Source organism: Homo sapiens, chromosome 10 (assembly GCF_000001405.40).
Source record: "Homo sapiens chromosome 10, GRCh38.p14 Primary Assembly".
Taxonomy (NCBI): Eukaryota; Metazoa; Chordata; class Mammalia; order Primates; family Hominidae; genus Homo; species Homo sapiens.
This window is the reverse complement of record NC_000010.11, coordinates 5,788,947-5,814,811: the sequence shown is the minus strand read 5'-3', so window position 1 is coordinate 5,814,811 and position 25,865 is coordinate 5,788,947. Positions and strand designations below refer to the sequence as shown.

The window sequence follows — 25,865 nt, the reverse complement described above, 5'->3', positions numbered from 1 at the left end:
TATAGGTAGTATGACCCCCTGATGACTTGAAGACAGAGCAACAGAAGGACCTTCTTTAGTCATCATTAGCTTAGCCAAAAGAAAAGTCAGTTACACTCACTGTTGCATAATCAGTTGTATGGTCAACTGTGCACTAATTCATTTGGTCACAAATATATACAATCAAATTAAGGTTGAATGTAAATTTAAACTTTACTTTTGCTTTCTTCTCCCCTCCCCCCCAGAAAGATCCATGGTCCAATATAACATATCTTCTTCAAGTATTTATGGGGTAAGAAACATTTTAAAAAGTTGTTACATTCTTTCCTCTATCTTAATGATTTAAATATGAGCAAGTTCGGTCTATCAAGGCAGGCTCTGAATAGCTACTATCGAGAAGTATTTGAGGAGTTCTTGAATGCCAAATCTTCATTGTCTGCTGACTCTGCAGATTTATCACGTGCTGAAAGCACAGGTTTTCCAACTGTCAACGTCTTTACGAAATTCACCTGCTTAGGCTTTCGTGGGGTCGGCCTCTTGGAGCTGAGAACACAGCTTCTGCTTACACCTGTGTCCTCAATGAAGCCAGAGATTCCTAAGAGAATTCTAGAAAAAGAGGAGCGGGGTAGAAGGCAAGCAAGGAACAGTTTCTAAGCTTAGGGCCTAAACCTTTGCATACAAGGATCAGCTACCACGTTTACAGCGGCTTTAAGTTACAGCCCTCGGTAGGTGCAGATCGGCTTCCCAATGAAACCTGGCTTTCACTTTCATCTCTGTTAAGGGTTACCTTTTCAAAAGAAGCCGCTTTTCCTCCTACCAATTTCCTAAAGCGCCCACCGGCAACGCACTAAACAAGGAGGGCACAGAGCGGGAAAAAGGACACGTGTGATTTCCGAACTCTTCCCGGCGGGCTCCGGGCCCCGGCAAGCCCAGCCCCGCGGGAGGAACCAAGGCCGCCACCCCCGAGAGGCAGCCCGGCCCGCGCTCCTCGCCCACGTGGCCGCCGCACGCGCCCGCTCAAAGTCCAAGGGCGGCGATCCGGCTCTGGGACCTTGGACCGAGCGAGCTCCCGCCCCGACGGCGGGAGTCAGAACGGTGGTGGCCAGCAGTCCCCGCCCGCGGCTCCGTGCACCTCCACCCCGGCCCGCGCGCCGCCTCCCGAACCACCGTGGCAGAGGCCGCAAGGGGAACCGGAAGCCAAAATGGCGACGCCCCGCCCTTTTCCTCTCGCGAGAGGCGGGGAAGGAAAAAAAGTTGTGCGAGCGACGGGGACGTAACCAATTAGAGTGCCGGGAGCGCCTGATTGGCGGCCCTCCCGGCGCCTGCAGGCCCCGCCCCGGCTGCGGAGGCTCAGTCACAGCCCTCCCCTCCTCGCTCCCTCCCCTCCTCTCCCCGCCCAGTTCTTCTCTTCCCGTCTGAGGTGGCGGTCGGTCTCGCCTTGTCGCCAGCTCCATTTTCCTCTCTTTCTCTTCCCCTTTCCTTCGCGCCCAAGAGCGCCTCCCAGCCTCGTAGGGTGGTCACGGAGCCCCTGCGCCTTTTCCTTGCTCGGGTCCTGCGTCCGCGCCTGCCCCGCCATGAATGAGGAGTACGACGTGATCGTGCTGGGCACCGGCCTGACGGTGGGCGCCAGGGCTGAGGGGCCGGGGCTGAGCAGCCGGGGCGGGCGCACCCCCGGCTCCTGCACGGCCCGCGGGTCGCAGCTCCTCGGGGGTCTCGTTCTGCCGTCAGCCGTAGTTTTCGGGACGGGAGTCGTGGCTAGGGGCGCGGGCGGGTTCAGGGGCGCCCCGCGTCCCGGGGCGAGCGGGCGGCTCCCAGTGTGAGGGGCAGGCGGGGAAATGGAGATGCGGGCCGTGAGGCTCGGGGCGGGGTGACGGCCGAGCCCGGCCTCTGCGCTTGCCCCCAGCGGAAGCGGAGGGGAGGGGAGAAGGCCGCCCGGGCCAAGGGTCCCGCTCCCCGGTTTGGGCCGGTGACCTCGCCCGGTTGGAAACCAGCACCCGAGGCGGAGGGGACGGTGCAGGCCTCGCGGTTGCATTTCCTATTCCGCCTCGGCCGCTGCCCCGGGTCAGTCTGGCTGCCAAAGCCGAGTACGGGGTTTCCTGACAAGTCTTGGATAATCACTGCTTCGGAACTGCTAGGGCTTGATTAACTTATATTTTTGGCGAAAACGTGGAAATTAGTCTTTTAATCCTTTCTCCCCCCTGCTAATGAGAAGTATTATTGAATCCTTTTAGCCACCCTCCCTTCTCACTTACTGAGCATCTGTAGAATTGGAATTGAGTTTTTTCAAAACTTGTCCGTCAAATGCTTTCGCACCTGACCTTCGCCGCCTTTTCCTTTTGTTTGGTGGGTTCTCTGCCTCCTTTGTCTCTTCTGGACTGTTTTCCCCTAAGAATTGGGTTGGTGATGGATTGCTAAAAGCCAAGTTCTCTGTACTCCGAAGCTTTCTTCAGGGAGTTGGAAGATAATAACATGAAGAATGCATTGTAATATATGAATGCAAGGTGTACCTAATATCATGGTATATTGATTTTCCTGGTTATCTGTTTCTAAGGGAACTTTAGGTAATCTGTAGATAACGCAGGCAGGTTCTGTAGTTTGTACTTTTTCTGTTCTTTTTTTTTTTTTTTTAAATGTTCATCTTGCAAAAGAATTCACTTTGGAGAAAACCATTTTAACTATCAATTTTTGGGGAAATTTGAAATTCTAACTTTGGGCTGCTTGATCATAATTAAGATGAATACTGATGTAAATCTTGTGTATCCTATGTACTCTGACTTCAAATTCCTGAGTCATTTAATGTAGACTTCCACTTCAAATTTTTTGAAATTTATTATAATCTCTCAGGGTCAAACCAATTTTTTTTTTTTTTTTTACAGGTAACATCCCAAAATAACACTTTTAGATGTCTCTAGGCAAGAGAAAACCTTCGAACTTTTATTTGGCTAATTTTTTAGGAAAGGTTTGTGAAGAATTAGAATCGTGTTTTTCTGGTCTGTCATTTTTCTGTTTATAGTTATATGCAATTATTAGAGAATATTCATTCTGAATACTTCGTTATGTTTGACCAATCCAGGAATAATCCTGTGTCTGTCTTTGAAAAGCTGGAAGACTGTTGGATGCCTAAATGAATAGGCCCTACCCACTGCAGGTTTTGTGCTTTTTTTTTTTTTTTTTTAAGTGCCTAATTGGGATTCCAAGCTGAGCTTAGTAGTTTGTGGTGGATTTTGCCTGTTGGAATGGGTAGTGTTGCTGCCAGCGTGTTTTAAGAGCCGGTTAGTTCCACCGTTTTTCTATGGTTGTTGCTGGTCTTTCAGATTTGCTCACAATTGAGGTCAGTTAAGCATGCACGAGTGAGTGCAAATCCACCATCATGCAGGCTTCCACAAGCCTCGTTCACATCACTTTGTATCAAAGATGGTGAAAGTGTTTTTATATAACAAGTTAAGATAATGAGCTTTGTTTAAATTTTCATTCGGATTGTGAACTCTTTGATGAATGGTAGATGCATACTTAACTAGAAATCAGACCTGTTTCTGCTGTCATTTTGTAGCTGTGATAACTTTAATCTCTGTGAGCCTTCCTAAGTTTTCTGAGATGTTCTTTGATAATTATATCAATTCAGGACAATCACATTATTACCATCATTGATAGGAGTAGTGATGACAGGATGATTTTGATAATGAGAAATCATATATCCTTATTTTTAGTGTTACCAGGAATTAGATGATTAAAAATTAGAAGAAGAGAAAACCAAAGTTAGCACTCAGAATTAACTTTTGAATGTCTGGAGTTAATTAATTTTCTTAAAATTTACTTTAGTGCCTGAGACTTAAGAACCTAAAAAAAGGCAAGTACTTTCAGTGTTAGGAACTTGTTACTTTTAAAGAAGTGTAAGGAAGTGCTGGAGTTGCTGTGTTGCTTAGTGCTGCCATTGTTTGTATGAGTTGTTAAGTCTAAGCTCATAATCACAAATATTGATAGTTATCTTAATCAAGAAGATACAAAACGATTTGGTATAAAGGAGTAAAATCTTCATTCTGTGTGTAAAAGAAATGGAATATTCCACACAATTGAATTTTCTGAGGAACTAAAGGTTATCTCTAAAGAGCACAGCTTTTGGATAATGCCTTTCTAAATGCTGTCACAACTTCTTTAACAAACTAAGAAACATAATTTACTTGATAACCAAGTTTTCACATAGTGAAGATTAACTATTGTGTTATGCTGTAACATGGTGAAGCCATGAAGACCCCGCCAGCTTTGTAGGAACTTTTGCCCCCTTTACTCTCAGGCTGCTATGCTTTTTGAGCTCTTCAGTTTACTCTTCATATTTTTTCCCTCTATCTTACTTTACTGTTAGGCTGGCAACATTTACTTTTCTCTGCTTTCAGCATGTGTAGGCAGCCTCTCACCACATAATTTGCACATAGTTCACTATGGACTTGGAAATAAATTCACGAGTCTTGTTAGACATAGTAGATTAAAACAATAAGAGTAACTAGTTCCACAGCTGTTTGTGCTTCCCAGAGGTTTTTTTCTTCCCATTTTTTGTTCTACACAGTAAGAATTTATGAATAGAAATATATACTTTAGTGATGTATACCAGATGATTCTCAGCATCATATGTTTAAAAACTTGCTTTACATCCCAGATACTTTTCCTCATTTCTCTTTATCAGAATTTTGTGATTTCAGATTCAGAGAAGGTTTTATACTTGATTTTAAAATTCTGAACTAAAATTCAGATTGCCTCTTGGATTTGCTTAATCTTTGATTTGCTCTTTGAGAGTTCTTGCTTATAGCTGTGTTAGAGTTCTGTAGACAAAGGACTTTCTATTCACTACAGTAGTGAGCATAGGATCAATATTTGCAAATGCTGTTACACTTGGGAGCTGTGTTGTAGGCAGTTTAAACCAGCGTTAAGCATCCTGGCCAAAAGAAAATATAAGTGAAATTAGACATATTTTAGCATGTAGAGATGACAATAGTGTGACATTGGTTTTTAAAGACCACTGGTAGATGTTCACATGCGTGATACACTGCAATTACCTCTGTCTTCCCTCCCATGGTACCTGATTGGAGACTCTTACTGGAGTAATAGTTTCAGTTTCAGTTATTTAAACCCAGTGACTATTGTGATCAGTTATGGGCAGTAAAAAGGTAAACACAGAACCTGTCTATAAGTAGCTTGTTCTCGTGTTGGAGAGTAACTAATAAGAATTAGTATGAGAAAGCATTAAGTCCCCTAAGAGGTGCACTTATATGAGTTCAGTCAGGGAATCAGGAAAACCTTCGTAAAGAAGGAGATATTTAGCTGGCTTTAAAAAAATATTGGCAAGGTTTGAATGGAGGAATGATTTTTTAGGCAGAGAGCAGTCAGTGTAAGTCAATGCTAAGTCAAGGATGTATGTAGGGAATGGGGAGTGGTTTGTTTTGCTTGAAACAGAAGCTTTGGAGAGAGATTCTAGGCTAAGAAATGTGAAAATTATCTTCAAGGCAGTGAGAGAGGACTTTGAGCAGGAGAGTGATATAATTAGCCACATTTCAAGAGAAGGTATCTTTTGACAGTTTTTTTTTTTGTTTTTTTTTGAGATGGAGTCTCACTCTGTTGCCCAGGCTGGAGTACAGTGATGTGATCTCGGCTCACCGCAACCTCTGCTTCCCAGGTTCAAGCAGTTCTCCTGTCTCAGCCTCCCGGGTAGCTGGGATTACAGGTGCCTGCCACCATGCCCAGCTAATATTTGTATTTTTAGTAGAGATGGGGTTTCACCATATTGATCAGGCTGGTCTCGAACTCCTAACCTCAGGTGATCCACCCGCCTAGGCCTCCCAAAGTGCTGGGATTATAGGCATGAGCCACCGCGCCTGGCTGACAGTTTTTAATGAGATGCATTAGAGGGGCAGAGTCATTTAAAGAAACATTCTTCATAAAACAGCCATTTTTATTATGTTGCTGTAAGATACTTGCCATTGAAATGAACTGATTTAAAATTTTTCTGGTTAATTTCTCATGTTTCTAGGTAAGTAGTTTTGAAAAGGCACTTTAATATTAGTTATTAGATACTTTGTACTCCTGATCACATTTGTGTGTGTGTGTGTGTGTGTGTATTTGTAGTTTTTTTTTTTTTTTTTTTTTAATAACAACAATACTTTTTATTTCTGAGACAGAGCTCTCTGTTACCCAGGCTGGAGTGCGGTGGTTCAATCTCAGCTCACTACAACCTCTGCCTCCCCGGTTCAAGTAATTCTCCTGCCTCAGGCTCCCAAGTGGTTGGAATTACAGGTGCTCACCACCACGCCCGGCTAATTTTTTTGTATGTTTAGTAGCGATGGGGTTTCACCATGTTGGCCAGGCTGGTTTTGAACTCCTGACCTCAGGTGATCTGCCTGCCTCAGCCTCCCAAAGTGCTGGGATTACAGGCGAGAGCCACCGCACCCAGCCCATAACAGAACTTTAAAATGCAGTAGGATTTGATAGGGTGTAGAGGATTTTTTGTTTGTTTGTTTTTGAGACAGGGTCTCGGTCTCTTACCCAGGCTGGAGTGCAGTTGTGTGATCACAGCTCACTGTAGCCTCAACCTTCCAGGCTCAAATGATCCTCCCACTTCAGCTTCCCAAGTTAGCTGGAACTACAGGAGGCATGTAGTTTGGGTATTTTTTGTAGAAATGGGGTTTTGCCATGTTGTCCAGGCTGGTCTCAAACTCCTGGGCTCAAGCAGTTCTTCTGCCTCGTCCTCCCAAAGTGTTAGGATTACAGGCGTGAGCCACCTTGCCCAGCCAGGGTATAGAGTTTAGTTTGTCACTAGGAAGGTATATCAAAATATTAATAAATTTTGGCTCTATTCCCTTCCAAGTCTAAATTGCTCTGTAATCGGGGTTGGGGAGTGGGCATTAATTTTTCAGCATACCATTGTTACTGGCCGTGGAAACACCATGTAGGTGTAACAATTCATATATAGAAATTTCATTCAGCCTCTTCAGGTGCTTTGTCTAATATATTTGGGTGTTGTCCAAATGAGTTATTCTGTTTTTGATGATTGCAACTCTGGTGGTATGTGTAGGGTGCTGAAGGAAGAGAACGTCAGTATCGCTGATGGTTCTGTCCCCCAGCCCCACATCCACATATCTACACGTACTAGCACTTTGGTGCAATTAAATATTAAAAACCATTTTGGTTGGTTACCTGTTTTTATGTAGGAGAACGTCAAGTGCCAGGTGGGTGGCAGATGCTAGTGTCATACAGAACTTGGATTCTGAAGATGGTTTTATAGTCTTAGTGATTTTGGATGTGAATATGTATTCTTATCCTGCTTAGGTCATTTGTAGGTGAGTTTGAAGTTACAGTGGGTACTCTTACCTGTTACATTTACAACTCATGTTGGTGAATATTCATTCACATACAAGTTTCGTGGTTAAAGTTACTTGATGTACATGATAGATGGACCAGCTTTTCTAGTGTGAAAAAGAGAAGCTTAGTTTTTATGGCTTTAATGTGCTTTGCTTGTGAATATTGTGTATTCATCAGATAGGTTGTAGTAGAATTTAATTTTGAGCTGGTAATTTTGGAAAAATATTAAAATTTTAGGATCATTAATATATACTGTGCCCAGATATGACTGATAAATTCTATCAATTAATGACTTCACCCATGTTTTAAAACAAAGCTTATTATGTTTGTGCTATTATATATTCTTTTAGCAGTGTGGAAGCAGTCTTTTATAATAGTTGGGTATAGAGGAACTAGTGGGCCTGCAGATTTTTTATTAGCTTTAGTTAGCTCTTGTCATATTTGCTCCAAGTGGTGCCTTTGAAGGTAGTTGCTGTCAGCTCTTTGGACTCGGCCACATCTTTAAATTACTGGGCCCTTTATTTTAGGCCTCAGTGCTTGCTTTACGGCCATAGTCCAGTGGGTCATGCTTAGTGTGAAAGGTTATATATAGAAGCTGTGCAACACTCCAATTTGCTTGCTGAGATTTTGCTTTCAAAAGTCTGCAGTCTACTTTTGTCAGCTGGGAATGTAACTGTCTTCCTCTGCTGTGTCATAACTTATTTTTAAGATAGTAAATATTTTATTTTCATATGTGGAACTATATGTTGGTGCTGCTTTAGGTTGTTTTCTTCCCCCACCCCCCAAAAGTAAATTGTTTTAGTCAGTATTAGGGTTGATTTTTGTAGTTGTTAAAATACCTTCATTTCCTTTTATGAAGACATAATGAAGAAAGTGAAAAGGCAGGCCACAGAATGGAAGAAGATAATTGCAGTACATGTAACTAATAAAGGATTTATATATAGTATATAAAGTACTTTTATAAAGCAGCGAGAAAAAGCCCATTTAAAAAATGGGGAAAAATTTTGAATAGGCACTTATCATAAGTGCCTTATCACTTAGCTTGATCATCAGTAAACGTTTTTTTGTTTTTTTTTTTTTAAATTTTCTTTTGTAGAGATGGGGGTCTCACTGTGTTACCTGGGCTTAAGCGATTCTCCCACCTTGGCCTCCCAAAGGGCTGAGATTATAGGCATGAGCCACCATGCCCGGTCCCTAATCATTAATCAACTATTTAAAAAGTGTTCAACCTTATTTGTCCTCAGGAAATGCAAATTAAATCACTTCTTAACTAGAATGGCTAAAATTAAAAAGGCAACAGTGTAAGTGGTCAAGGATTTGAAACAGTGGGGACTCACTGCGGACAAAAGTGTAAATTGGTACAACCGTTTTTGGAAAGCTGTTTGGTAATATCTGTTGAAGTTGAATGTATTTATACTCTTCTTGATATATAACAGAAATGCACACTTAGAAGACACATGCGAGAATGTTGATAGAGCATTATTTGTAATAGTGAAAAACTGGAAACTATCCAAATATCCACCAGGAGTAAAATGGAGAAGTAAATTGTGGTATAGTCATTCAGTGGAATCGTCTACAGCTGTGTTACCCAAAGTGTGCTGCATAGATCAGCTGCATCTGCAACACCTGAGAATTTACCAGAAATGCGGAAGTTTAGGCCCCAACTCGGATATTACACAGAATCAGAATCTACAGTTTAACAGGATCTCCAGGTTATTCTTATATATAATAAAATTTGCAAACACAGCTTTAGTAATTCTTGAAATTGGTCCTGGACCAGCATCATCAGTATCACCTCATCAGCATCAGTGGTGGCTGACACCTGTAATCCCAGCACTTTGGGAGGACAAGGCAGGAGGATTGCTTGAGCAAACCTTGCTTTGCAAGGCCAAGGCTGGGCTACATAGTGATATCCTGTTGCTACAAAAAATTAAAAAATTTGGCAGGCGTGGTGGCACATGTCTGTAGTTCCAGCTTCTCAGGAGGCTGAGGTTAGAGGATCTCTTGAGCCTGGAGGTTGAGGCTGCAGTGAGCCATGATCACACCACTGCACTCCAGGCTGGGCAACGGAGTGAGACCCTGTCTGCATCCTGCCAACCTTTTTTTTTTTTTTTTTTTTTTTAAAGAGCAAATTCTCAGATCCAACCTCAGACCTACTAACTCAGAAGCTCTGTAGATGGGGCCTAGCAGTCTGTGTTTTCAAGCCCTCCAGGTGATTTGGATACAACCTGAAGTTTGGAAATCTGGGTAGAATTTACATTTCTAACAAGTTGGCAGGTGATGCCAAGTCAGGAACCACACTGAGATGCCCTGCTTGCAGGGTTAGCCATACACTCTGAAAAGCTCCCGATAGTAGCCGGGTGCCATGGCTCACCCCTGTAATCACAGCACTTTGGGAGGCTGATGCGGGTGGATCATGAGGTCAGGAGTTTGAGACCAGCCTGTCCAAGATGGTGAAACCCCATCTGTACTAAAAATACAAAAATTAGCTGGGCGTGGTGGCGCACACCTGTAGTCCCAGCTACTTGGGAGGCCGAGGCAGGAGAATCGCTTGAACCCAGGAGGCAGAGGTTGTGGTGAGCTGAGATCGTGCCATTGCACTCCAGCCTGGGCAACAAGAGAGAAACTCTGTCTTTAATAAAAAAAAAAAAAAGCTCCAGATAGTAAATATTTTAGGTTATGTAGACGTTCTGGTCTCTGTCACAGCTGCCCAACTCTGCTGTGGTACTAGGAAAACAGCCATAAACAGTATGTACATGAACAGATATGGGTATTTACCAATAAAACTTCACAGAAATAGCCTTCAGGCTGGATTTGTCTCATCTCTGGGGACCTTTGCTCTATAGCAATGATAATAAATAGACCATGCACAAAACATGAAAGAATCTTAAAACGTGTTGCATAATGTCAGACGCAGAAAGTTAATACACATGATTAGATTTTTAGAGTTCAGAAGCGGGCAGAACAAATCTTTGCTATTAGAAATTATGAGAGTGCTGGGGGATGGTGGTGGTTATGATTGGAATACGGCATGAGGGCCTTCTGGAGTGCTCAGAATGTTTTGTTTCTTGAGCTAAAGAAAGAATGATTCAGGCTGGGCGTAGTGGTTCATGCCTGTAATCCCAGCACTTTGGGAGGCCAAGGTGGGCAGATCACTTGAGGCCAGGAGTTCAAGACCAACCTGGCCAACACGGTGAAACCCCATCTCTACTAAAAATACAAAAATTAGCCAGGCGTGATGGTGCATGCCTGTAATCCCAGCTATTTAGGAGGCTGAGGCAGGAGAATAGCTTGAACCTGGGAGGTGAAGGTTGCATTGAGCCAAGATCGCGCCACTGCACTCCAGTCTGGGCAACAGGGTGAGACTCCTATCTCAATAAAAAAAAAAAGAAAGAATGATTCACACTCCTATAGTGAAATTTGAACCTCATGGTAAGTAATTTAAGACATTTAAGAAATACTAAATGAATAGATATATTATGGAAGAAAACTTGAAATTTGTGTGAATTTTAAAAATACGGGTTTCAAAGTCAAATAGACTTGTAGAGAATAAGATTGTTCTTTGACATCTAGGGTCCTTTGGATAAATTTGAGAAATATTAAAGATTTATAAAGATACATGGAATTTCCTTTGTCTCTTTAAGAAATAAAGCACTGATCACTCAAACCCTTTTTGAGTGATTATATGCCCCATCTCTGTGTTTCTTCACATTAATTGTATTAATTTTTTCCCTCTTCTTAATTTGGTTTGTCTTAGTGTATTCATGCTTGCTTTATCTTTTTCCTGAGAGTGGTCATTTATACTTTTCGGTTGATGGTCAATTTATTGGTGGTTGTCCTATATGCTTTGCTTAGGGCTCTAGTTTTCAAACTTTTTAGTCTCAGGATCTGTTCACGTGCTAAAAAATTCAGGACCTTGAGCTTTTGTTTATAAAGGTTGTAGCTATTGATATTTATCATATTAGAAATGGAGGAATAAATAAATCACTGACAAATAATAAACCGATTACATGTTAACATGTATAACAATTTTAACTGTATATGTACTTTTTTTTTGTTATTGAGATAGGATCTCACTTTGTCACCCAGGCTGAAGTGCAGTGGCCTTATCACGGCTCACTGCACCTTTGCCCTCATGGGTTCAAGTAATCCTCCCACCTCTCAGCCTCTTGAGTAGCAGGGACTACAGGTGCTCACCACCACACCCAGCTAATTTTTGTATTTTTTGCAGAGATAGGGTTTTGCCCTGTTGCCCAGACTGGTCTCCATCCAACTCCTGGGCTTAAGCCATCTGCCTGAGTATATTTTCTAAAACAAAATTGTGAGAAGACTATCAATATTTCACGTTTTCTGCAAATCCTTTAATGTCTGGCTTAATAAAACTGAATTCACATACATGCTTCTGTGTTCAGTTCTGTTGCGATATATTGTCTAGGCTGAAGTATATGAAAACAGGTCTCACACAGACATGTAATTGGAAAAGGGAGGAGTAATTTAAATATAGCCTTTCAGGTTATTGTAGATATTCTTTGGTTTACACAAAAGCACAAGTGGTAGTTTTTAAGAGATAGCAGTATGAAATCTGAAGCCACATTAATGAATGTTTTATATTCTGATATATTAACACCCACTGATCTAGCTTGCACTTTGAATTCCTCTTTTTTCCTCCTGTGTGATTTTGTAATTTCATTCACCCGTTATTTGGAAAACAAGGTTTACTCTGAGTAAAGTGGGTCTTAATGTTGACATGTTTCATTTTACATTATCAAAACATCATATTTGTTAGTATTGTCACTGATAATGTTAGAAAAGTTCTTCATGTATTGGGGAACCTGACGTGTGCCCATGGTGGTAGTTGTAAGTTTTCCATAATTCTTTTTTTTTTTTTGAGATGGAGTCTTGCTCTGACACCAGGCTGGAGTGCAGTGGCGCGATCTCGGCTCACTGCAGCCTCCAACTCCCTGGTTCAAGCGATTCTCCTGCCTCAGCCTCCCGAGTAGCTGGGATTACAGGCATGCGCCACCATGCCCAGCTAAGTTTTGTATTTTTAGTAGAGATGGGGTTTCACCATGTTGGCCAGGATGGTCTCAATCTCCTGACCTTGTGATCCACCCGCCTCGGCCTCTCAAAGTGCTTGGATTACAGGTGTGAGCAGCTGTGCCCGGCCAAGTTTTCGGTAATTCTAATTTTCATTTAAAATTTGACTTATTGGCAGCACGTGTCAGTTATTTTCCTTTAGGTTTTCTTTGAGAAAATGTCAAATACCTAAATCTGAATAATCATAGTTTGTTGGTCAGTTCTTTCAAATAAAAATGATTATTCATAAAAAAAAGCGGCTAGTTCAGCTTACAGATCAGTGGCACAGGTTTTCCCTGAGCTGAAGTGCTGTCTGTATTCTTCCCATTTTTTCACACACAATGTTTAAAAGATGACTATTGAAGGGTATATGTTTATTAAATAACTTTATTAATTCTTTTTGCTACTCAGTCTTGCTCTGTCACCCAGGCTGGAGTGCAGTGGCGTGGTCTCAGCTCACAGCAGCCTCTGCCTCCTGGGTTCAAGCAGTTCTGCCTCAGCCTCCTGAGTTGCTGGAATTACAGGCATGCACCACCATGCCCTGCTAATTTTTGTGTATTTAGTAGAGACAGGGTTTCACCGTATTGCCCAGGCTGGTCTGAAATTCCTGGGTTCAAGCATTACACCCACCTCGGCCTCCCGAAGTGCTGGGATTGCAGGTGTGAGCCACCATGCCTGGCCAATAAAGTTACTTTTTAATGCTTTTATCAAGGACATCCTTTTTTTTGTTCTTGAGATGGAGTTTAGCTCTTGTTGCCCAGGCTGGAGTGCAGTGGTGTGATCTTGGTTCACCACAACCTCTGCCTCCCAGGTTCAAGCAATTCACCTGCCTTGGCCTCTTGAATAGCTAGGATTACAGGCATGTGCCACCATGCCCGGCTAATTTTGTATTTTTACTAGAGATGTGGTTTCTCCATGTTGGTGAGGCTGGTCTTGCTCTTCTGACCTCAGGTGATCCACCTCCCCTGGCTTCCCAAAGTGCTGGGGATTACAGGCGTGAGCCACTGTGCCCACCCTATCAAGGACATCCTTAAATGAATGCCTGGCGATGAAGACTGTAATGATGACTAGTATAGTTTAGAGCCCTGTCTTAATTTGTTTTATCCACCATTGATTTTACATCATCAGTGGAAGTGTCAACACTGAAAAGGTGACTAGGCTGGGCACGATGGCTTACGCCTGTAATCCCAGCACTTTGGGAGGCTGAGGCGGGAGGATCACCTGAGGTCAGGAGTTCAAGACCAGCCTGGCCAACATGGTGAAACCCTGTCTCTGCTAAAAATACAAAAAATTAGCCGGGTGTGGTGGCGGGCACCTGTAATCCCACTTACTCAAGAGGCTGAGGCAGGAGAACTGCTTGAATCCTTGGAGGTAGAGGTTGCAATGAGCTGAGATTGCGCCATTGCACTCCTGCCTGGGCAAGAAGAGTGAAACTCTATCTCAAAAAATAAATAAAAAAAAAAAATTAAAAGGTGACTAATGTCTTAGTGTTATTATGAAACAGTTTTAATCTTGGGATGCATAGGAGCCCACAGACCACACCTGGACCCCTGGTTTCTTAAGGGCTTTCTTCATAAATTATGTCATGTTGCATGAATATAAGTGTAATTACTAAGAGAATGTGTAATGGCAGGCTTGAAAAAAATGATCTGTTTTAAATATGCTGTAGAACTTTCTTTTCAAGGTACTATGCTTTTTCTATAGGAATGTATCCTGTCAGGTATAATGTCAGTGAATGGCAAGAAAGTTCTTCATATGGATCGAAACCCTTACTACGGAGGAGAGAGTGCATCTATAACACCATTGGAAGATGTAAGTGTTAGTCAAATTTCATACGCCTCTCACACTTTGTGAGTATTTCACTTGTGAATCTCTACCTTATTCCTTAGAGATGGTCTTAATTTTGTTTTGTTAAATGGAATATCTGGAGCACTGTTTTTCAGGAGCTTCTGGTTTGAAGCTCATAGAAATTTACATTTTGACTTTTGTTGCTATGTGGAGCAGTTATCTCTTAGCATTAACAGAGAATAGTCTAGGAAGGGAGGGTAGAGGATCGTCTGATGTGCCAGCGCAAGTCCAGTGCTTTCCTCATGGCTTTATTTATTTTCTCAGTCCCTCAAAGATTTTTTTTTTAATCTCCATTTAACATAGTCTCTGTGGGGTTAAAATCTGAGATGGGTTGTAAACCCAAGTTACATGACTACAAAGCTTAGTTCCTTTTGCTATACTGCCTTGTTTCCTACTTTTTTTGAACGTGGACACATAGCATTTCCACAGTGTGTTTTAATATATTGATTGTTTTTCTGCGTGAGGTTTGTTGAACACCTACGTATATGGATATGATGTGTACTGTGTCTTATGGGAGATAGATATCATCAATGACTTTAATCAGTGACTTATTAGACAATACTTACCAAAAAGGATTTTTTTCTATATTCAGTAATACTGAAAAGTTTAAAGAATAATACGATGTATAAAAAAATCTTCCATCAGAGTTCAGCAGTTAAAGTTTGCTGTATTTTTTTCATGTCTCTTTTTTTGTTACTGGTTTTGATCCATTGAAAGTGATAAGACATCATGAGGCTTGAGCAAAATATTTCAGCATTCATCTGCTAAGAATAACATTCTCCTGCATAAGCATAATACCATTATATCATATCCAGAACCATATTCAAATTTCCCAGTGGTCCCAGTAATCTCTTACGTAGCTGTTTGTATTTGGTATAATTTTCTCTTTATTCTCTTATTTATTTTTCTGGAGACAGAATCTTGCTCTGCCGCCCAGGCTGGAGTGCAGTGGCACAGTCTCGCCTCCCTATGGCTTCCACCTTCTGGGTTCAGGTGATTCTTCTGCCTCAGCCTCCCAAGTAGCTGGGATTAAAGGCGTGCACCACCATGCCTGGCTAATTTTTGTATTTTTAGTAGAGACGGGGTTCCACCATGATGGCCAGGCTGGTCTGGAACCCCTGACCTCATGTGATCTGTCTGCCTTGGCCTCCCAAACTGCTGGGATTACAGGCATGAGCCACCACGCCCGAGCGCTTTATTCTTTGTTGTTGTTGTTTGTTTTTAAGAGACAGGGCCTTGCCCTGTTGCCCAGGCTGAAGTGCAGCAGTGCGATCGTAGCTTGCTGTAGCCTTGAACTCCTGGGCTCAAACGATCCTCCTGTATCAGCCTCCTAAGTAGCGGGGCTAAAGATGCATACCACCTGCCTGGCTTATTTTATTTTTTGTAGAGATGGGGTCTCTCTGTGTTGCCCAGGCTGGTCTCAAACTCCTGGCCTCAAGTGATCCTCCTACCTTGGTTTCCCAAAGTGTTGGGATTATAGGTGAGAGCCACCATGCCTGGGCACCTCTTTATTTTCTTAATCTACAAATCTCCTCACAATTTTTTTCTTTTCTTAATTTTGTTTTATTTTATTTTTATTTTTATTTTTTTGAGACAGTCTTGCTCTGTTGTCCAAGCTGATGTGTAGTGGTGCAGTCTCGGCTCACTGCAACCTCCATCTCTTGGGTTCAAGTGATTTTCATGCTCAGCCTTCTGAGTAGCTGGGATTACAGGTGTGGACCACCATGCCTGGCTAATTTTTTGTATTTTTAGTAGAGATGGGGATTTCTTCTTGTTGGCCATGCTGGTCTCGAACTCCTCAAATGATCTGCCTGCCTTGGCCTTCCAAAGTGCTGCGGTTACAGGTGTGAGCCTCTGTGCCTGGCCTAGTATATTTCTTAGCTGATCTTCAATACAATGAGTAAGATTTCTTTTCTTTTTTTTCTCCCCAGATGTATTGAGGGAGTCATGAATTTTTTCTTTTTTTTTTTTTTGAGATGGAGTCTTTCTCTGTCACCCAGGCTGCAGTGCAGTGGCACGATCTTAGCTCAGTGCAACCTCCACCTCCTAGGCTCAAACGATTCTCGTGCCTCAGCCTCCCGAGTAGCTGGAATTACAGGCGTACATCATCACGTCTGGCTAATTTTTTGTATTTCTGGTAGAGGTGGGGTTTCACCATGTTGATCAGGCTGGTCTCGATCTCCTGGTCTCAGGTGATCTGCCTGCCTTGGCCTCACAAAGTGCTGGAATTACAGGCATGAGCCACCGCACCCAGCCAGAATTTTTATTGAATAAATACTTACTAATTTTGCTTATTCTTTTCCACCTTAGCAGTAGGATTCATGAGCTCAAGTGACTGTTCTCTAACTTTATAAGCTTTTTGAAATCTGAGCTTCATTTCAATTCATGTGAATTATAAATTAATTTGAGTATTCTTACCACAAAACATCATAAAAGAACAAAAGGACAATTTTGGAGGTGATGGATATGATTGGTACCTTATGGTGATGTTATGGGTGTACCTTGTGTCTAGACTCACCAAAATGTATGCAGGAAGTAGGCAGTTCTTTATGTATCAGTTATACCTCAGTAAAGCTCAAAAATTATAAATGAACTAGAACTAATTTTAATTATCTTTTCTGATTAGGAAGAATCTAAGGTTTATTTTGAATTCCTTACATAATACAAAAGCAAAATTAAGCCTTTGATAGCTTTTTATTTGGGAGAGAATGAATTTAGATGATTGCTATTTGTCAGTGACACCCTAGTTCTGCATATACAGTCCGTATAGAGAACTATACAGTGTCATTGACAAATAATCTTGTTTTATTTATTTATTTCTTGAGATGGAGTCTTGCTTTGTCACTCAGGCTGGAGTACAGTGGTGCCATCCCAGCTCACTGCAACCTCCACCTCCCAGATTCATGTGATTCTCCACCTCCCAGATTCATGTGATTCTCCTGCCTCAGCCTCTCGAGTAGCTGGGCTTACAGGCACACACCACACCCCGCTAATTTTTTTTTTTTTTTTTTTTTTTTTGAGATGGAGTCTCACTCTGTCACTAGGCTGGAGTGCAGTCACGCTATCTCGGCTCACTGCAACCTCTGCCTCGCATGTTGAAACGATTCTCCTGCCTCAGCCTCCCGAGTAGCTGGGATTACAGGCATCTGCCACCATACCTGGCTAATTTTTGTATTTTCAGTAGAGATGGGGTTTCACCATCTTGGCCTGGCTTTTCTTGTACTCCTGACCTCCTGATCCACCCGCCTCGGCCTCCCAAAGTGTTTGGGATTACAGGCATGAGCCACCATGCTTGGCCAATTTTTGTATTTTTAGTAGAGACGGGGTTTCACTATGTTGGTCAGGCTGGTCTCAAACTCCTGACCTCAAGGGATCCACCCGCCTCATGGATTACAAAGTGCTGGGATTACAGGCATGAGCCATTGCGTCTGGCCTTGTTTTATATTCTTTCTTTTCTGCTAGTGAAAAACCTTACTTCTGCCATATTTGTTAATTTTAACATTTATGAGTTTAGTAATTAATTTACATATATATTGGACCTTGCTAAAAATTTTATCTGATAAAAGATGAAATGCCCTTATACTTTACTAGCATGGTGGTGTTTAGTTATACTAAAAGCACTTAATAAAAAATATGTACATATTGTAATAAAAAATTAAATTTTGTTAACATTATGGCTATGTTTTTCCTTGCTTTTAGTTATACAAAAGATTTAAAATACCAGGATCACCACCCGAGTCAATGGGGAGAGGAAGAGACTGGAATGTTGACTTGATTCCCAAGTTCCTTATGGCTAATGGTAAAGAATTTCTAACTTAAATTTATGACAGTACTTTGATTACAATTTTAATATCAAAACTAACTTTTGACAGAGTACTATTCTGGGTATGAGGAACTGGATTTTGTTGAATGAAACAGCATGGTGAGTAACATGGTCCATTAGATGTCTGGAGTCAATAAGTTAGGAAAGGAAGGAAGGGGTTGTGACTTACTAGTAATTGGTTCTGGAGAAACAAATGATGCTGTGGCATAATACATAACAAGATTGTAAGCCTTTGGCACAGACTTACCTGTTGATGCTTATGACAGTCTTAAATAACTGGGCCTTTTGAAACAGCATTATTTTAATGTTTTTCTAGTTTGTAGGGTTTTAAAATTTTCACATTTTTTTAATTTTAGAGGATCTAAGTTTTCTTTTTCTTTTTTTTTTTTTGAGACGGAGTCTCGCTCTGTCACCCAGGCTGGAGTGCAGTGGCATGATCTTGGCTCACTACAACCTCCGCCTTCTGGTTCAAGCAATTCTCCTGCCTCAGCCTCCCAAGTAGCTGGGATTACAGGTGCGTGCCACCACGCCCAGCTAATTTTTGTATTTTTAGTACAGACAGGGTTTTACCATGTTGGCCAGGCTGGTCTTGAACTCCTGACATCAAGTGACCTGCTCGCCTCAGCCTCCCAAGTACTGTGATTACAGGCTAAGTATTTTTTTAAATTGCTGTAATATTAGTACTTTTTTCTGAGATGACATTGAAAAACTAAATTTTTGGTTATAGGTCTGTTTGTGCACATGAAATAAAGCATCTGCTATCCTTTTTCCTTGTTTGAGTTTATATTCTATTGTTTGTTTTTATTAATTTTTTTTAGAGACAGGGGTTTCACTCTGTCACCCAGGCTGGAGTGTAGTAATGCAATCATAGCTTACTGAAGCCTTGACTTCTAGGTTCAAGTGATCCTCTCACTTCAGTGTCCCACCACACCTGGGTGTTCCACCACACCTGGCTAATTTTTTTGTGTTATGGTAGAGATGAGGTCTCACTGTGTTGTGTGGGTTGGTCTTGGACTCTTGGGCTCAAACAATCCTCCCTCCTTGGCCTCCCAAAGTGCTGGGATTACAGGTGTGAGCCACCTGTGCCTGGCCAATAATACTATAATTCCAAACCTCATATCTCTAATAAATTTTTCATTGCTTTTGCAAAAGCAAGTTGATAGAATTATTAACCTTTAAGTTGTAACATTAAAAAAACCTATGTATTCAACCTTGAATAGGAAAAAAAGATAAAAAATAACAAAAACGTGTAATATGCAGTGCAATAAGTTTGCATTCTGGTTGTCCTATTTAAAATACAGCTTTGGAGGTTATTTTGGGCCAGGCGCGGTGCCTCGTGCCTATAATCCCAGCACTTGGGAGGCCAAGGTGGGTGGATTGTTTGAGCTTAGGAGTTTGAGACCAGCCTGGGCAACATGGCAAAACCCTGTCTCTACAAAACAATACAAAAAAAAATTAGCCAGGCATAGTAGTGCCAGGTACTCAGGAGCGTCAGGCTGGAAGCTTGCATGAGCCCAGGAGGCTGAGGTTGCAGTGAGCTCGTGATTGTGCCACTGCACTGTAGCCTGGGCAACAGAGGGAGACTGTGTCTCAAAAAAAAATTATTTTGTTGGAGTTATTGAACATCGTTAGAAAAAATTTTAGAAGCTGTTAGTATTAGTAAATGTTCTTTATAATTTATAGACTTAAGTTATAGTTTGAATTATGTGACTTTTCTAGGTCAGCTGGTTAAGATGCTGCTTTATACAGAGGTAACTCGCTATCTGGATTTTAAAGTGACTGAAGGGAGCTTTGTCTATAAGGGTGGAAAAATCTACAAGGTTCCTTCCACTGAAGCAGAAGCCCTGGCATCTAGTAAGTAGTTTTATTTTCTCTAGTAACTAGTTTTATTTTCTCAGAATAATGAGATTTTATACTGGAAAAGAGTCTTAGAGAGGACCCAGTCAACAAATATTTATTGAATGTCTATCATGTGCCAGACACTGTTCTAGGCAGTTGGGAACACATCAGTGAACAAAATGTTCAAAAATTCCTACCCGTTTGAAGCTTAGAGTTTAAATGATCATCTATAGATCATGTACCTTGTGGCTGGTGGATCTGAGCTTATCTAGGGTTAATAGTGTTCTTTTCACAGTAATTCATAATAGCTATGCTTTCTGTTGAGTATTTCCTGTGTCTAAAGGCTCTGTACTGAACACTCCATATTGTTTTCTTATTTGACTTCTGAAACATCTCTATGACATAGGGTCTCCATTTTATAGGTGATGAAACTCAGGCCTAAAATTGCATACGTAATAAGTAGCTGGGATAAGTAGCTGGGTTGGAAGTGAAATGCTGGTAGTGTGGCTCCAGAGCCCTGGTGCTTAATCATGTTACTAAGCTTACCCTACGCTATATTACCCAACGTGCCAACAGGAGAAGTACTCATTCTGATGATGCTCATCTTCTAATTGGTCTTGTTAGTAATTCCCAATATCTTTGATTTTAGGAACTCCTGGTGAGTTTTATATATATATATATATATATATATATATATATATATATATATATTTTTTTTTTTTTTTTTCTTTTAAAGACAGAGTCTCGCTCTGTCACCCAGGCTGGAGTGTGATGGCGCGATCTCAGAGGCTCACTGCAACCTCTACCTCCCAGGTTCAAGCGATTCTCCTGCCTCAGCCTCCTGAGTAGCTGGGACTATAGGCATGTACCAACACGCCCGGCTAATTTTTGTATTTTTAGTAGAGATGGTGTTTCACCATGTTGGCCAGGCTGGTCTTGAACTCCTGACCTCAGGTGTTTCACCTGCCTTGGCCTCCCAAAGTGCTGAGATTACAGGCATGAGCCACCGCGCCCAGCCTTGGAGTGATCTTATTCTCTGCCCAACATTATTTCCTCTGTTGCCTCACCAAAGAGTTCTGGTTAACATTTCCTATTTCAGCGTCTCTCTTAAATAGCAAACAGTCCAGAAAAGACCTTTTTGTTCTTCAAGATGTTTTAGTCCTTGTATGGAGCAGTTTGGAGAAGGATAAATTTGTATAACTAAGGGTAGGTGAGGGCTCTAGGAGCTTAGAAGAGGGAAAGTGCTCATAAGTTCTCTCATAATTATTTTGGCATCAGCGCTGAAAAGTTTTCTCATCTGTAAACCTAATTTGAATTATTTTGGCAGTTTCCTCTATTAACTTCTGATTAGGGGAGAAAATATTGGGTATAAAATATTAAAGACATAGCCAGAAAGTAAAAAATACTGCAAAGAATCAGGGCTAGGTTAGGACTGATAATTGGGGAAGGGAAGGAACAGTTTCTCATTCAGTTGCGGGTAGTTAGTAGTGTAATCATGGGTTCGAAATTATTTTAAATCTTTTAAATGACTATGAAAATTTAATCCAAATAAAGTATCTTCATAGAAGTAGGAGTTTGAGTTTGAATAGAATCCTTTTTAACAGTGGTGTGGTGTGGTGGCTCACGCTTGTGATCCCATTGCTTTGGGAAGCCGTGGTAGGAGGATTGATTTAGGCCAGGAGTTGAAGACCAGCCTGGGCAACATAGCAGGACCCTGTCTCTTCAAAAAATAAGAAAATTAGCCAGATGTGGTGGTACATTACTGTAGTCCCAGGTATTGTGGAGGCTGAGGCAGGAGGATCGCTTGAGTCCAGGAAATCAAAGCTGCAGTGAGCTGTGATTGCATCACTGCGCTCCAACCTGGGTGACAGAGGGGGACCCTGTCTCAAAATTTTTTTTAGATAAAAATAAGAAATAGAATTTTTTTTTTTTTTTTTTTTGGACAAAGGTCGTGGGTTCTTTCTTTTACATTTTCTTTCTTGGAGCTCTTACTTATATTAAAGCTTCAGTTACCTCCTTCATCTAATAGAAATTATCGTTTGGCAGTTTTATTTTCTCTGATTTTTTCAGATATATAAAACATTTACAGAGCTTGAAAGTTAAAAGGTATATTTCGAGTCTTGGTCTCATTCTTACTTTTCTACTTCCATTCTTTCTGACCTGTTAGGTAATCATTTTCTGGCTTATCCTTCTTCTGTTTTTTTTTTTTTTGAATAAGCGCATATGCTTCTGTATATATTTTTAAGGCTAGGTTTATTGAGGTATAATTTATGTACAGTAGAAATCACTTGTTTTAGTAAACACTTTTATGCATTTTGACCAAATCACTACCTTATCAGCATCTCCTTATATTAATGGAAAGGATTTTGAAATCTTGAGTTGCAGGCAAGAAAATTCTAGGCAGAATGAAGGAATGGGGTAAGGAAAGGTGGAGAGGTGGCAAAGTTCAAGAGATGGGTGGATAAGTACCAGTTGTTTTATAATTTTAATAAGAACTCAGTTTTTTGAGCACTTACATGCTAGGCATATATGTATTAAGTACTTCATGTGTATTATCTAACTTTACATAGTTCTTCACTGCAATCGTGTGAGATGCAGGTGCTATTACTATTTTTTATTTTACAGATGGGAAAGCTGAGGTATAAAAGGAAAGCACAAAGTAGTATAGCTAGTAACTGGTTTGGAGCCAGGTCTGTCTGACTTTAGAATCCCACACTCTTAACCACAAGAAATACTATATTCTTACGGTATATAAAGCTATTAATATATTGCTTTTTAGATATTTTAACAATGATTACATACCTTCTAATTCTTTTTTTTCCAAAGTAAATACTTGAGTCTCCTTAGTTGTTTCTCATATAATATGCTATCTAGATCTCTTGGCCACTCCTTGGAAATTCTCTAATTAGTCAAGATCCTATATATAATATGGCAGCCAGACCAGAGACAGTATCCCAGATGTTTTCTGCTCATTCAGTGTAAACAGGACTGTTTTTTTCTTTGTCCCCCAGGCTAGAGTGCGGTGGCACAATTTTGGCTCACTGCAACCTCTGTCTCCTGAGTTGAAGCAATTCTCCTGCCTCAGCCTCCTGAATAGCTGGGATTACAGGCGCACGCCACCACACCTGGCTTATTTTTTTTTTTTTTTTCTTTTTTTTTGAGACGGAGTTTCGCTCTTGTTGCCCAGGCTGGAGTGCAATGGTGCGCTCACTGCAACCTCCGCCTCCTGGGTTCAAGCAATTCTCCTGTCTCAGCCTCCCGAGTAGTTGGGATTACAGGCATGCACCACCACGCCTGGCTAATTTTGTATTTTTAGTAGAGACGGGGTTTCTCCATGTTGGTCAGGCTGGTCTCAAACTCCCGACCTCAGATGATCCGTCCGCCTTGGCCTCCCAAAGACCTGGGGTTACAGGCGTGAACCACTGTGCCTGGCCATAATTTTTGTATGTTTTAGTAGAGACCGGGTTTCGCCATGTTGGCCAGGCTGGTCTTAAACTCCTAGCCTCAAGTGATCTGCCCACCTTGGCCTCCCAAAGTGCTGGGGTTACAGGTGTGAGCCACTGTGCCCGGCCCCAGAACATTTATTATTTTATGTATTTATTTTTTTGAAACAGGGTCTCACTCTTGCTCTGGCTGGAGTGCAGTGGCATGATCACGGCTCAATGTAGCCTTGACCTCCTGGGCTCAAGTGATCCTCCTGCCTTAGCCTCCTGAGTAGCTGGGACTATAGGGATACACATGCCTATAATGGTGCAATTTAAAAAATTTTTTGTAGAAGTGAGGTCTTGCTATGCTGCCCAGGTTGGTCTTGAACTCCCGGACTCAAGCAGTTACCTCTCCTCAGCCTCCCAAAAGAGGCATATCCCACCATGCATGCCTATAGTGGTATAATTTTTTAAATTTTTTGTATAAATGGGGTCTTGCTATAATTGTCTAGGCTGGTCTTGAATTCCTGGGCTCAAGCAGTCATCTCTCCTCAGTGTCCCAAAGTCTTAGCACTACAGGCGTGAGCCACTGCACCCAGCCAAGAACATTTATAATTCATGGGAGGAGGTCAAAATACCAACATTAAAAAGAGTTTGGAAGAAGTGAGTTTTAACCCTCTTAGATCACTTTCAGAGATTAAGACTTCAAGACTTTTGACACTTCTGAAACTACTAATAGCCTGTTGTTGAATGGAGGCCATACGGATAACATAAATAGCTAAGTAGTTGATTAACATTTATTTTGTATGTGATTTTTTTTTGTTTTTTGAGACTGAGCTTTGCTCTTGTTGCCCAGGCTGGAGTTCAATGGTGTAATCTTGGCTCACTGCAACTTCCACCTCCCAAGTTCAAGCGATTCTCCTGCCTCAGCCTCCCCAAGTATCTGGGATAACAGGCATGCACCACCACACCTGGCTAATTTTTTGTATTTTTAATAGAGATAGGGTTTTACCGTGTTGGTCAGGCTGGTCTTGAACTTCTGATTTCAGGTGATCCACCTGCCTCGTTCTCCCAACGTGCTGGGATTACAGGTGTGAGCCACCGCACCTGGCCTTGTGATAATGTATTATATACTGTGTTCTTACAATCAAGTAAGCTATAGAAAAGACAGTGCCCTTAAGAAGATGATAAGGAAGAGAAAGTACATTTACAGTACCATACTGGACTTATTGGTACCAAAAGTTTAGGTTGTATGTGTATGAGATGAATTGTCTGTCTGAAATGGCGGGCAACTGCAGCCGCAGACCTGAAGTCAGTTGGTACGTTTCAAGGAATTCAACTTTTTCTTGTAATGTCATGACTTTGCTTCTTGGGAGCACTTCCAGCATCAGTGGCATTCCCTGTGGGTCCTACGTTTTACTCAGTGTTTATGGTGTTGCACTAAACACGATGAAAAATATGTGAGAACAAGGAGAGATCACTTTTTACTGTGACAGATAATTTACTGGAGAGGTGAACTGCTCATGCAGAGATGATTATTGTCACATAGAGTTTTAAGATATTCAAACACTTGAGCTCACCACATTAGCAACAAAAGGTGGCTCCAGAGTTATTACAGTAGTACAGTATGTACTGCAGTTAATCTTACGCAGTTAAGACTTAATACTACATCTTTCTTTGTTTACAGTGGCACCGTGTATGGTCTGTGTTTGTGTGCCTAAGTTTTGTGATTAAATTTTAACTTTGAAATAGAATTGCATATATTTATGATAGTAAATAATATCTACATATATTTTAGCATTCATGACATACATAACTTTTTTCTAATTTTTTTGGTATTTCTAGGCTATGCGGTTCATCTGCAAGTTTTTTCAAATTGTCACAAATCTGCTGGGCATGTTGCTGTGCACCTGTAATCCTAGCCACTTGGTAGGCCAAGGCAGGAGGATTGCTTGAACCCAGGCATTTGAGGCTGTACTGTGCTATGTTCACACCTGGGAATAGTCACTGCACCTCTAGCCTGGACGATATATCCTTATATAGCAAGACCCTATCTCTTAAAAAAAAAATCATTTGGCCGGCTACTGTGGCTCATGGCTGTAATCCTAGCACTTTGGGAGGTTGAGGTGGGTGGATCACTTGAGCCCGAGAGTTCGAGATCAGCCTGGGCAACATAGTAAGACCCCTGTATCTACAAGAAATAGAAGAAAAATTAGCTGAATACCCTGTAGTCCCAGCTACTCAGGAGGCTGATGCAGGAAGATTGCTTGAGCCCAGGAAGTTGGTGGCTGCAGTGAGCTGTGGTTGCGCCACTGCACTCTAGTCTGGGTGACAGAGATCTCATCTCAAAAAGGAAAAAAAAAAAATCAAGTAAAATAAAACGTAGAACTGAAAGAAAAAACAAACCTGGCTGGGCATAGTGGCTCATGCCTGTCATCCCAGCACTTTGGGAGGCTGAGGCAGGCGGATCACTTGAGGTCAGGAGTTTGACACCAGCCTGTCCAACATGGTGAAACCCCATCTCTACT

The 25,865-nt window shown here is 41.5% G+C and overlaps 1 protein-coding gene and 1 long non-coding RNA gene across 3 annotated transcripts in view, besides 8 other annotated features; both read left to right on the top strand.

Moving 5' to 3' along the window:
- Window positions 608–707: an enhancer, noted in NCBI's record as "active region_2928". NCBI's record gives its function as "activates an Ori minimal core promoter by ATAC-STARR-seq in GM12878 lymphoblastoid cells {active_cell/tissue: GM12878}" and the evidence as "EXISTENCE:reporter gene assay evidence [ECO:0000049][PMID:35858748]".
- Window positions 771–1,363: an enhancer, noted in NCBI's record as "NANOG-H3K27ac-H3K4me1 hESC enhancer chr10:5855412-5856004 (GRCh37/hg19 assembly coordinates)". NCBI's record gives its function as "activates a minimal SCP1, AML or CMV promoter by ChIP-STARR-seq in primed H9 embryonic stem cells {active_cell/tissue: H9 hESC(primed)}" and the evidence as "EXISTENCE:reporter gene assay evidence [ECO:0000049][PMID:30033119]".
- Window positions 771–1,417: a biological region, named in NCBI's record as "NANOG-H3K27ac-H3K4me1 hESC enhancer GRCh37_chr10:5855412-5856004".
- Window positions 908–1,087: a silencer, noted in NCBI's record as "silent region_2088". NCBI's record gives its function as "represses an Ori minimal core promoter by ATAC-STARR-seq in GM12878 lymphoblastoid cells {active_cell/tissue: GM12878}" and the evidence as "EXISTENCE:reporter gene assay evidence [ECO:0000049][PMID:35858748]".
- Window positions 1,148–1,417: a silencer, noted in NCBI's record as "silent region_2087". NCBI's record gives its function as "represses an Ori minimal core promoter by ATAC-STARR-seq in GM12878 lymphoblastoid cells {active_cell/tissue: GM12878}" and the evidence as "EXISTENCE:reporter gene assay evidence [ECO:0000049][PMID:35858748]".
- Window positions 1,364–1,956: an enhancer, noted in NCBI's record as "H3K27ac hESC enhancer chr10:5854819-5855411 (GRCh37/hg19 assembly coordinates)". NCBI's record gives its function as "activates a minimal SCP1, AML or CMV promoter by ChIP-STARR-seq in naive H9 embryonic stem cells {active_cell/tissue: H9 hESC(naive)}" and the evidence as "EXISTENCE:reporter gene assay evidence [ECO:0000049][PMID:30033119]".
- Window positions 1,364–2,097: a biological region, named in NCBI's record as "H3K27ac hESC enhancer GRCh37_chr10:5854819-5855411".
- GDI2 (GDP dissociation inhibitor 2) overlaps window positions 1,378–25,865 on the top strand; it is a 48,212-nt gene continuing 23,724 nt past the window's right edge. Inside the window, exons 1-4 of one of the 2 annotated variants that reach the window (NM_001494.4) lie at window positions 1,378–1,598; window positions 14,107–14,214; window positions 17,950–18,049; window positions 19,793–19,927. In NM_001494.4, coding sequence (NP_001485.2) covers window positions 1,554–1,598; window positions 14,107–14,214; window positions 17,950–18,049; window positions 19,793–19,927 — 388 coding nt within the window. In that variant the 5' untranslated portion in view covers window positions 1,378–1,553. The remainder of the gene's footprint in view (window positions 1,599–14,106; window positions 14,215–17,949; window positions 18,050–19,792; window positions 19,928–25,865) is intronic. The other variant, NM_001115156.2, reaches the window with a different exon arrangement.
- Window positions 1,558–2,097: a silencer, noted in NCBI's record as "silent region_2086". NCBI's record gives its function as "represses an Ori minimal core promoter by ATAC-STARR-seq in GM12878 lymphoblastoid cells {active_cell/tissue: GM12878}" and the evidence as "EXISTENCE:reporter gene assay evidence [ECO:0000049][PMID:35858748]".
- Window positions 1,615–11,721, top strand: LOC124902367 (uncharacterized). The gene is made up of 2 exons (XR_007062041.1): window positions 1,615–2,497; window positions 2,856–11,721. It is a non-coding gene; the product is annotated as an uncharacterized LOC124902367 (long non-coding RNA).